This window comes from Homo sapiens, chromosome 14, assembly GCF_000001405.40.
Source record: "Homo sapiens chromosome 14, GRCh38.p14 Primary Assembly".
Classification (NCBI taxonomy): domain Eukaryota; kingdom Metazoa; phylum Chordata; class Mammalia; order Primates; family Hominidae; genus Homo; species Homo sapiens.
Window position 1 is genome coordinate 80579907 of NC_000014.9, and position 12519 is coordinate 80592425.

General features: G+C 37.3%; 1 protein-coding gene across 15 annotated transcripts in view; it reads right to left on the reverse strand.

Annotated features, from left to right (window-relative positions):
* CEP128 (centrosomal protein 128) overlaps nt 1-12519 on the reverse strand; it is a 482534-nt gene that overhangs the window by 102938 nt on the left and 367077 nt on the right. For all 15 annotated transcript variants that reach the window (NR_157142.2, XM_047431023.1, XM_011536493.3 and 12 more), the window contains one exon: nt 468-517. Coding sequence is in view for 14 of the 15 variants with exons in the window: in XM_047431023.1 (XP_047286979.1) it covers nt 468-517 (50 nt within the window). In the remaining variant the exon portion in view is untranslated. The remainder of the gene's footprint in view (nt 1-467; nt 518-12519) is intronic.

The following is a 12519-nucleotide window of genomic DNA, read 5'->3' on the forward strand; positions in this document are numbered from 1 at the left end:
AATGTGAATAAACCTGTACTGAATTGAGAGGCTGTACAAGGCAACCTTAAGCTCTATTTATGTGTTAATTGGTTGGTCATTAGTAGATGACACCCATGGGGTCAGAATACTTTTGACTTTCACTTGAAAATGTAGATTCCATGAATTCATCTTCATTCATCAGTCCTGTTTTGAGGGAAATGACTATGAAAGGATACTGCCTTCATTTCCTAATGCTGCAGTTCCTATTATGCTATACCAAGGAATAAAATTTCCTATCAAAAGTAGCATAGAGGCTGATTTGGCTTCCTGCTTTAGATCAGTGCTCTCAGAGACTTCTAAAGGAAGCAAATTCCAACTTTATAGTTCTGACATTGTCCTTGTCACCCTATTTGCTATACCAGTGTGAATGTGACAATAATAAAGGATAAAAGAGTAAAAAACAAATGTTTTCATACCAAGCATGCTTGCCCTATTTAAGAATTTACCTGCAGAGATCCCATTTCTTCATCTTTTCTTTGGGTCTCTTCCAGTAGATCTGTAATAAGAAAGTAAAATACCCATCAAAATACAATGTAAAAACGAGTTGCCTCTTATCATCAAATGCAATTCAGCCAGTAGCTTGTATAAACTGTTGCCTGAGAAGAGAATTTAATGTTTAAGTGTGAGAAGCCATGTAAAAGAAACACGCTCTGATCCCAACTGAGGACATGGCAGAGCGCGGGAGCCTGCCAACTCTAAGCTAGCCAAGAAGCCCTGGGACATCTCTCAGCTTTACCTGACATACCAAAGGATGACATCAAATCAATTAAAAATCTGTAATCATACCAATATTTTAAGAATTTGGTCTCATGCTTATATAACTCAATGCAACACAAAATTTCCTTTAGAAAAAAAGAAAAGCCTTTTTCTTTTGAAAGAAAAATTAAAAACAAACCATTTGCCCTTAAAACAAGCTCCCAAGCCAAGTTCCACCCCTACAGTCAATTTTTATAACCAAATTAAAACACCCTGGAATAATAGGTGTTATTAACTGGAAGTGGAACACCACCTCATCCATAAAGTCTTATTAATTATCATTTCACACTGAGAGGGTGGGATGCATTGAAGCTACATTTGACTAAGAGTTTGGCACCATCCCAGAGAAATTAGTGGTTGGAAGGGAAGGTCGTCAACTGAAGAGAGCTCTGTCTTAATGCATGTATACAGCCATGGTGTCTCAGTGCCCTACATTAATTTATGAACTTGCTATTAAGAAAACATATTTTCTGCCTGCAGCTATACCACCCTGTGCTATGATCTTATTATATCTCACAAACCTAAAGAGGACTAGGCTGAGTCAGAACTTGGATGAAAACTGGCAAAAAACACCTACAGCAGTGTATATTAATATGAGTATTTGCCTTACTCTCTCATTGATATAGCTTACCAAGAGACTATGTTACATAAAAGGAAAATATAAGTTACAGAAGTCTAATATGTATCCCAGAAAGGCAAACTCAAATGTTTTACCAAGTGCTATATTAGATATAGCAGGAAACAGTCATATAGTAGAGTGACAAAGTCATGCTGGTGTGTTGTAACTGGGCAGGCAATACACCAAAATTTCAGGAGACCTGGCAGATGACAGAACTGATTGTGATGACCCTTTGAGGCCGCACAGCTAAGAGGGTTACAGATGAGTGGTAAGCAATCTCCTGAAGACACAACATGCTGGGATTAAGGATAAGAGATTGTTTCTATTCTGTATGCTATAGAGGAACTGACTTTGGCTCCCAAAACCTCCCTTAATCAGGTACGTCAAAAAAGTAAAAAGAGCAGGCCAGTGTTTTGGGGTGTATTTTTAAAGGGGTTTTGATTGGCATATCAGGTTCTGTAGCTATAAGATACAGAAACCAACTTGGTGTATGGAAGATTGTTTAAGTGCCCTCAATCATTCCTCTTCCTGCATCCTCACTCATTTGCATTGTGGCATTGTAGCTACTTCCATCAAGAGGCCATGCACATCTGCTTCACTTCTTGCATCTGGGCTGGCCTCCTGACTTGATTTGGTGAATAGAATATAGCTGAAGTAACTCTGTTTCAGTCCAGACTGAGGCTTTAAGAGGCCTCACACATTTCCACTTTTTCACTTGGAACCCTGTCACTGACATCTGAATAGGCCCAGGCCAACCTGCTAGATGACAACAGACACATGGTCTAGGACTCTTCCCACTTCTGTCACCCTGCAGGTTGCCCCAGCTGCCAGCCAGCAAATGCCCAGAAGCAGAGTTGCCCAGTTGATCTAAGGATGACTACAGATGACTGAGATGGGAGCCCAACTAAGACCAGACAAACTACCCAGCTGAGCCCAGTGTCAACTCCAATTCACAGAACCAGGAGCTAAATAAATGGAATTTTGGAGTGGTTTGGTACCCGGGACTTGCCAACTGAAAGCAATGAGATGCTATTTGAATAACATGTATTTAGAAATTATTAGAAGGATATAGAGATAACTAATAGATGCACTGGAAAAGAGGATCCCAAATCTGAAGGCAATAACAACTAGAGCAGGTCTGGATGGGACGAGATATAGGTAGCATGAGCTAATAAGCATTTTATTCTGGGCTCCTCTAAACTTTATGTCATTCCACTCAAGATGAAACTTCATAAAGAGAACAGCTACTGAGCCTAGCTTAGATCTCTTGCCTACTGCTTGGCTAGGGGAAAGTATGGAGTACTTTCATTGTTAATCCCAAAAGGATTGGACTAAGAATAGAAAGAATAGTTTCCAAATGCAAAATTAGGGTTAGAGAAGGAAGGATGGACATCAGACAGGCCAAAACAACAGATTTCTACACCATCTGGTTTCAGTTAACTGTGTCCTTACCCCAATTCTCTTCAATATTTGTGAGATATAAGATCACTCCTGTGTTCCTATGAGGATGTGGCTACTTAGCTCCATTACTTCTGGATATTAGGAGGTTCTCAGAGCTGGGCACTTTGTAATGAATTAGATTGTTTAATGGTGCAGTGTAACTGGAGTGATACATAGTGGGGTTCATCAACCACAAAAGAAAACTAATCTTGTTCCTCCAGAGTCAACTTAGTATGGCAAGTCCAAACTCCTTAGATAAAACTTACTGGATCAATAATGAGTGTCAGATCTTTTATGCAGCCAAACACAACTCACTCATCTGATAAAATATAGAAGGAAAGAAGTCCAGTCTACTCACAGAACTTCATAAAATTATAGGAACTTTAAAATTATGTTCTCAGTTTTCTCCAAATACATACGGGTCATACTACTCTTCCAACAAATCTGATGCCAATGACAATGCTTGACTTGGGATGGCTGAATAAAAACAACCGAAGAATTCCTAGAATTTTAAATTTTAAATAAATATTCTCCCTGACTGACCATCTTGTATAAAGGGTATAAGCAGACACCTGTTTTGGTTTTTATTTTTTTTTTCTTTGTGCCACATATCTTCCCTTTGAGAACTCCTGTTCCTCTTTTCCACATGATTTCCATGAAACTTTTGGTCAAGAGGCCTAACTAACCTTTCCTGCTGCAGAAGCAGGTCATGGCCCAGGCTAGCAAGTCAGAGCATCTTATCCCCCTGAGCATATGAGCTAAGCAACACCAGAGGTGTCCTTTTAGAGGATTAATGTGAATGCCAGGAAATAAATTTTCTCCTTCTGAAGCCACACCTTATATTAGCCTGGTGTTTCGAAGTCTGTATTTTCTACTATGTTGAAGAAACTTATTAAGCAATGAGGCTGGCAAAGAAGAAATGAGAGCCAAGAAAGAGAGAATTGCTTGAGGACTACATCCACCCTTGACTGAAGCCCACAAACCTCCTGGACTTCCAATACATAATTCTTCCTCTATTCTTTTTCTTAAATTAGCTTTTGTTGGATTACTGCCATTTTTAAAAGTCTCCAGGGATGTAGTTGTATTGAACCTTCTTATCTCTATTCAGAAACCTAGAAGAACTTTCTAGTCCACCTTAAAATGTTTCATCCTACAACAAATATATGAAGACATGAGACTCAAAGAAATGCAAATGGTTTGGCTGAGATCACCTAGTTAGTACAAAGCCACTTCTACAGCTTTGCTCTCCTATCATCCTGCTCTGTCTAATCATGCTCTCATTTGTACCTCTCAATACTTAATTGCACCCTTCTTCATACTGATTTAAAAATAAAATACACACTTGTCTGTATTCTTCTGACCTGCTTTAAAAGTTCCCTGAATCAGGGCGTCCGTGACATTTTTTTTTTTTTTTTTTTTTTGTTTGACAGCGTCTCATCCGATGCCCAGACTGGAGTGCAGTGGCGCCATCTCGGCTCACTGAAACCTCCACCTCCTGGGTTCAAGCGATTCTCCTGCCTCAGCCTCCTCAGTAGCTGGATTACAGGTGCCAGCCAGCACGCCTGGCTACTTTTTACATTTTCAGTAGAGACGGGGTTTTACCATGTTAGATGGGCTGGTCTTGAACTCCTGACCTCAAGTGATCCGCCCGCCTCGGCCTCCCAAAGTGCTGAGATTACAGGTGTGAGCCACTGCCTCTGGCCCATCCATATTTTACATCCATGTTCTCCTTAACTACTGCCTTTCTATCTTTGATATTTAACTTATATCCCCAAAATTGCTCACTCCACCCACACCATTGCTGTATGCCACTGCTCACTCGTTAGGTGCATTGTTCAAGCACATGCATTTGGAATGATGAACACGGTTATTAACCTGTGCTGATGAAATATGGCTACTGGGCATCGCTGAGAAGCACCACTCTATGCAAACAGACAAAACACAAGAGAATATAGGTGAGACCCCTAGATAGTTAAAGTGACTTAATACTGTGATAACAGCGTGATTAGTATCTTTCATTATAATGAACAATCTTGTTGTTTGTTCTTATCAGCATGGAAAGAGCTGAAGGGCTGCTCTGCTCTTCTTATCAGCATTGAAAGAGCTGAAGGTCTGCTCTACTCTTCTTATCAGCATGGAAAGAGCTAAAGGGCTGCTCTGCTCCCTTGCTCACCACTGACATGTTCGTGTTTTCTTTTATTACTCTCTGGTTTGCTGTTCCATACAAATAGCAACTCAACTACCATGTAAATTGCTGTGGTGAAATTTGCTTCCATCAACATTAGTTAATGAAAGATCTTTGGTAAAAAGGGCAGCAGCCCTGTGTATTTTCCTTGGATTGGTTCCAATTTTTTAAATGAGCTGATACTCACTCATTATGACATAAAGTCATTAGAGGGAGAAAAAGCCATATAAAAAAGCAGAACATCATGGATGAGAATTGGATGATCCAGCTGTCCTGTTTTGTTTTGTTTCTGCTTTACATTTCTCTGGAACACTTAGGGTTAATATATCACGACCAAGTTTTTGGCTAAGATAGTTTTATATCTCTTCCTCTGCAGTCTTTGCAACCAGTGATCTGGCTGTTTAAGGAGGTTTGACACTTTTTAATGTTGATTTTGGTTTCTGGTAGCCAAGAAGCAGATAGATTGTTTGTTTATTTTTCAAAGGTGAGTCATGTCCAGGTGTGTATGAGCAATTACACCCATCTAGTAACTTGAACCTTCCTAGGGAGACTGAAGATCAAATTGAGAAATGACTATATTTTTCTTTAACCATTCCTATAAAATGCCTCATCCATATTACAACTAAGCCCAACTGATAATGGAGAGAAAGTTATAGAAACAGAGGCTTCTGACACAGCAACATTTATAACAACAGCACTGGACAGAGTAACATTGGCAGCAGAATATGTTGAGTTACTGATTGCAGTTTAGAGAAAAGCATTTAGCTCTGGCTCTTGTAACTTACTATAATTCAGTGCTCCTGTCCAGTGTTACTCTGTGTGTCTCGACATTTACCAAACACAATAGATAATGCAAATTCTCAAAATAATTCAATATTTTATTAAAAAGTAAATTTATGATATTTCTATTTGTGAACAGATTCATATATTTAAATATATTCATATATTTGATTCATAATTTCATATAACAAAATTCATCAGATAAAGCAGCACATTACAACCCTTATGAGCCTATAAATGATGGACTTAGCCTTCTATTATTCCATTCCAGATACTCAAGACATTAGCTACATGCCAGAGATAACGGGTCAGTTTCTCTTTTTCTTCCTTAGCTACCCAGTTATTGGAATCATTGACATTTTAGAGACAAGAGAACACAGAAATAATCTAATCCTAGGGTTGCTTTTTTTTTTCCTAAAGAAGTACAATTCTGTCTTATAAGGGAAATCATATATACTTTCTAATGTAAATTATAAATAGGTAATTTAAAAAGCTGAGAAGGAGCTGCTTTTAAGGAAACAGAAGTGGAGGGCCTGGGGGCCAGCCCACCAAGCTCCTTCCTATCCTTGGGCAGACCCCTGTGGTGGCATGGTGAAGCTGCAAAGCTCCAAATTATCCTCACTGAAAGCTACTGATCTAATCTAGTGTCCTGGGGTTACACAGTGGAGGACTGAGTTCCGAGATCAAATGCCTCTGTCAATGTCACATAGCTAGTTAATGGTGTATCAATCTGAGCCCAGGGCTTTTGAATTGGACCAGGGTCCAGTACTTTTTTTTTCTTTACACAAAAGTGACTGCCCTGCTTTGACTTTCAAGATTTGTATTGAAATGACACAGTATTCCAATGCCTATATATTTTCTAATGCCTCTCCAAACAGAAACAAAAGAAAACTTCATTAAAGCACTTGTGTAACATCGACAATCTGTGGGAAGACCCACAGTTACCAACTGTCCACGTTAAAATTCCTCAGTTTTGGGAGATGACGTCCAAAAATATGGCTATGATGGAAAGCAAATACCTAGACACTTGAGAAGGCAGTTGTTTCAGCAAGATATATTCAATATACAGCACACAGAAGATTTCACAAAATCAAACAGCAACACAAAATCTGTTTCAATGAATGACAGTTTCTCAGCTTAATATAACATTTACCAGCAAACATTTTTCCTATTTTATTATACTAGTAAAGAAAAATTGAATAAAGGTATAACAATATGACTATATTAGCTCAAATACCTAAACAACAATCAAATGTGTTGGGCTTTCAGTTAATATATGTAAAACATTTAAAATAGTGCTTGGTATATAAGAAGCATTATATACGTATTAGCTCTCAGTATTTTTTTTTTAAATCACCCTTAAATATCTCTGCTAAAATCAGGAAAATGTGCAAAACAAACAGTTGTAATTTAAAACAAACAAACAAAAAAGGCCTATTAGTAAACTGCTTTTAGACATCATCCATTATAAGTAGCTACATTATTTAGAACTCTGCCATATCTACTGCCACCCACTGGTACATATCTGGATATACCGCAATGAGTTAAGAGTTTTCTCATCCGGCCTTACCACAGAAAACACACAGGTTAAAATGAAGAACAACATTCAAAAAGTATGGCTATCCCTTGTGGTTTGTCTCAGACACTGAAACAACATGCTGGTCTACAGATGGAGCCCAATTGGTCCAATAAATGAAAGGTTTACAGTTCACTGTCTGTCTTGGGTATGTGGTAAAACATCCAAATACAGGTACTCATGTTTTTCTTTGATGTTAATTCATTTCTGGTGAAACTTTCCACTTCGACAACCTTAGAGATTTAAAACCACTTGCCACAAAACTGTCACAGTACAGAAAATAGCATAATAATCTACCCCATTCCACCTCATGCTTGAGTCTGGCACTGAGAAACATCCTGATATAGAATGAAAGTTCTGACTCAGTCAACTATTAAGTTTTCTGTCATTTCTATTGGTAACATGAGCAGAGAAAGTAAGAACATATTCAGTAGGAAACACATCACTGTTCTAAATTGGCCTATGGGCTGTCTTGGCCAAAATGAGAAAGAGAAGTTTATGATCCATTGTAAACATTATTTCAAGAATAAGTTTCATATGCTGAAATCCAGGCATAAAATCATTTTTCTCCCCACATGTACTCTGCATTACACTCACATAATGGGAAGTTTGCTTTCATTTAAATTAATTGGGCTGGGAGAAAGTTTATCCTATGCTCTGTTCTTGTTCTAGACTCATAAGGTCAACTGGGTATACATTTTGGGGCTCAGAGAAGTGCTGGGTATTTGACTTACTCTTTGATCACCTCTTCTTTACAGAAGCTACAAAAGTTTGTGCTGGTTTCTTGAGGTACCTACTACTGAACCAGATCTACGCTTCTTAGGCCTTGTAGATTCCTGGGTCTACTCTAGATCAAAATGAAATTTGAAATTTTTAGTGAATTTTTTTTCTAGTTTCTGCAATTCTTACATTCTAAGAGTAAAACAGACCTCAGAAGTGGAATAATGGTATGATATAGATCAGTGATGTGCACTTAGTTACAGAGTACAGCTCAATGTCAAACACCAACTGTTTCCTCTGGCAATCCACACACAGACAGTACGTACCCATGTATTTATATCTGGTACATCACAATGTAAATATATCCTGGGCTTAAATAGAGACATTTTATTTCAACTTATTCCTCATAAATATCAGTATTTCCTACCAAATTTGGCCTAGTATGTTGATATATTCTCTCAGGGAAGTAAATGATTAGAGATAGTTTTAAGGTATATATGATATACATACAAAACTTTTGACAGTAAAGGAGATACAACTGAAAATTTTGAAAAATTTTGAAATTTAAATCTTCAGTTTTAAACTTGATTGGTCAACAAATCTTAAACTACTAAAAGAAGTCCAAGTTCAGACATATGGTGTTTAATTGTTGCCCCATCCCCTCCCCACTTTGAGGCCATTTTAAAGACGAATTATTACAGCTCAGCTCTATTCAAAGTGTTTGCATCTTACAAATCCTTTCCTTAAAAACTTAATGTTAAGATTTTTACATAAAAACATTATGTTTTCATTCAGTGAGCTTTTAAAAAAAGCATGGGACTTTCACTAAATTTTAGAAATATTTTTGCTAAACCTCCAGGTGGGCAAATGGCTTCAATCCTCTTTGTCTCAGTCTCCTCATCCACAAAGCTTCAAAACACATTGAGTGTTATCTCACTTCATGAAGTAGCCATGAGGAAGAAAATGGGATAAGAAAGAAAGTGGGAATTAAGGTAGTTAATCAGATATCTTTAATATAAAGATTATCCTTAATTACCCATGTGGGTCCAATGTAATCAGAAGACACTGTGAAAAAGACTCAAGTGGTCCTTACTGATTTTGAATATAGAGGAAGGGAAGCATGAGCCAAGGGATGAAGGAAACCTCTAGAAGCTGGAAAAGGCAAGAAAACAGACTCTTCAAGAGCCTTCAGAGAATAAGGCAGCCCAGCTGACATCTTGATTTTAGCACAGTGAGATCCATTTTCATTCCTGACCTCCAGAGGTATGTTATTTTAAGCCACTAAATTTGTGGTAATTCTTTATAGCATTAATAGAAAACTAACACACCTTAGAACTTTCATTAAGTAATAAATTCAACTCTAAGAAAATTTAAGGGTTCATAACATCTACCCTCAATTCTGGTATCTGGTAATCAAAATGTACTATACATGGTATATGGTATGCCACATTCAATGAAAGCCTTGTGAAGAAACCTGTGATTAGGTAGGAACAGTGAAGAGGAGGTCTTTCATGGCAAAACTTGAATGTAACATGTCATAAGCTGTGACTCCAAAATTGTTAGTTTCCTCAGTGAAAGAGTCATGCACACCTGCGTTTAGCTCCTCAAAAATTTCTTACTGAGTTGCCTAAAATTATCCCCACTTCGCACCTATGCTGGAGTGTAATTATGTAGACCAACCTATAAAGTTTAGTCATCCCTATAAAAGGCATGTGCTGATATTAACATTCAAGGTACAGTTTGGTATGTAATACCCCAAGGGTAAGAACTGTTTACCACTATATCCTCAGTGCCTGGCAAATACTATTTCTCTAAGTATTTTTAAAATAATGACAACATCTATAAGAAACTAGTTAATAACTCTCTGACATGCAATATGATGTCATTTACCAGAATGTAGATGCCAATAAATTAGTTTAATATTATACCTTATTAAATTTTTTTCTGGACTGAATTTGAAAATTCAGGTAACAAGCGTTTTACAATTCTCCTTCACACAGTGGAAAATAATGCCAACTCAGGAATCCGCTTCACATATAAAGAGCAAGTCCAGAAAGATACCCAGTGAGTAGGCAGTAATGAGACACAAGAATGATCACCTGCAGCATGGCTTAGAGTAAATCTGTGTTGTACTGAAACAAGGACATGAATCCTCACAGAACTGGGTATTCATCTTGAAATGGCAAGCATGTGTTTACACACCTGAAAATTTCCAAATTTTCATAAGAGACGTAACTCTTGGATTGAAGAACCTATGTGAACCCGAAAGAAGATAAATATAAGGAAATCCACATGAAGATGCTTCATAGAGTTCTAAAAACCAAAGGAAAAGAACAAGTCTTGAAAGCAGTAAGACAGAAACAATATCTTACTTACAGGGGGAAACAATTAGAATAATAATAAAATGCTCATTAGAAACCACACAGGCCATTAAAAAAGTCACATTTTTTAAAAATGCTAAAAAACAAAACTGACAACCCAGAATCCTATATCTAGTGAAAATACTGTTTAGGAATAAAGATGAAGGCAAGACATTCCTAGGAAGAAAAATTAAGATAATTTATTGTCATCAGACCTATCCTGAAGAATGACTAAAAGAAATTCTCTAAAAAGAAAGGACATAAGAGAAAGAATATTAGAAGAGGAGAAAAAAAAGAAAGAACACAATCAAAAATACAGGTACATACAATAGATATCTTTTGAATTTTCTAGACTATGTTTGATGGTTGAAGCAAAAATTGTAACAATATCTTATGTGCTCCTAAAAGTATTTAGAGGGAACATTTAAGACTAACAGCGGATCTCTTGGCAGAAACCCTACAAGCCAGAAGAAAGTGGGGGCCAATATTCAACATTCTTAAAGAAAAGAATTTTCAACCCAGAATTTCATATCCAGCCAAACTAAGCTTCATAACTGAAGGAGAAATAAAATCCTTTACAGACAAACAAATGCTGAGAGATTCTGTCACCACCGGGCCAGCCTTGCAAGAGCTCCTGAAGGAAGCACTAAATACGGAAAGGAAAAACCAGTACCAGCCACTGCAAAAACATACCAAATAGTAAAGACCATCAACACTAGGAAGAAACTGCATCAACTAATGGGCAAAATAAACAGCTAGCATCATAATGACAGGATCAAATTCACACATAACAATATTAACCTTAAATGTAAATGGGCTAAATGTCCCAATTAAAAGACACAGACTGGAAAATTGGATAAAGAGTCAAGACCCATCGGTGTGCTGTATTCAGGAGACCCATCTCACGTACAAAGACACACGTAGGCTCAAAATAAAGGGATGGAGGAATATTTACCAAGCAAATGGAAAGAAAAAAAAAAGCAGGGGTTGCAATCCTAGTCTCTGATAAAATAGACTTTAAACCAACAAAGATCAAAAAAGACAAAGAAGGGCATTACATAATGGTAAGGGAATCAATGCAACAAGAGCTAACTATCCTAATTATATATGTACCCAATATAGGAGCACCCAGATCCATAAAGCAAATTCTTAGAGACCTACAAAGAGACATAGACTCCCACACAACAATAGTGGGAGACTTTAACACCCCACTGTCAATACTAGACAGATCAATGAGACAGAAAATTAACAAGGATATTCAGGACTTGAATTCAGCTCTGGACCAAGCAGACCTTACAGACATCTACAGAACTCTCCACTCCAAGTCAACAGAATGTACATTCTTCTTAGTACCACATCACACTATTTCTAAAACTGACCACATAATTGGAAGTAAAACACTCATCAGCAAATGCAAAATAATGGAAATCATAACAAACAGTGTCTCAAACCACAGTGCAATCAAATTAGAACTCAGGATTAAGAAACTCACTCAAAACCGTACAACTACATGGAAACTAAACAACTTGCTCCTGAATGACTACTGGGTAAATAATGAAATTAAGGCTGAAATAAAAAAGTTGTTTGAAACCAATGAGAACAAAGACACAATATACCAGAATCTCTGGGACACAGATAAGCAGTGTTTAGAGGGAAATTTATAGCACTAAATGCCCACAAGAGAAAGCTGGAAAGATCTAAAATTGACACCCTAAGATCACAATTAAAAGAACTAGAGAAGCTGGAGCAAACAAATTCAAAAGCTAGCAGAAGACAAGAAATAACTAAGATCAGAGCAGAACTGAAGGAGACAGAGACATGAAAAACCCTTCAAAAAAATCAATGAATCCAGGAGCTGGTTTTTTGAAAATACTAACAAAATAGACCACTATCCAGATTAATAAGGTAGAAAACAGGGGAGAATCAAATAGACACAATAAAAAATGGTGAAGGGGATATCACCACTGATCCCACACAAATGCAAACTACCATCAGAGAATACTATAAACACCTCTACACAAATAAACTAGAAAATCTACAAGAAATGGATAAATTCCTGGAC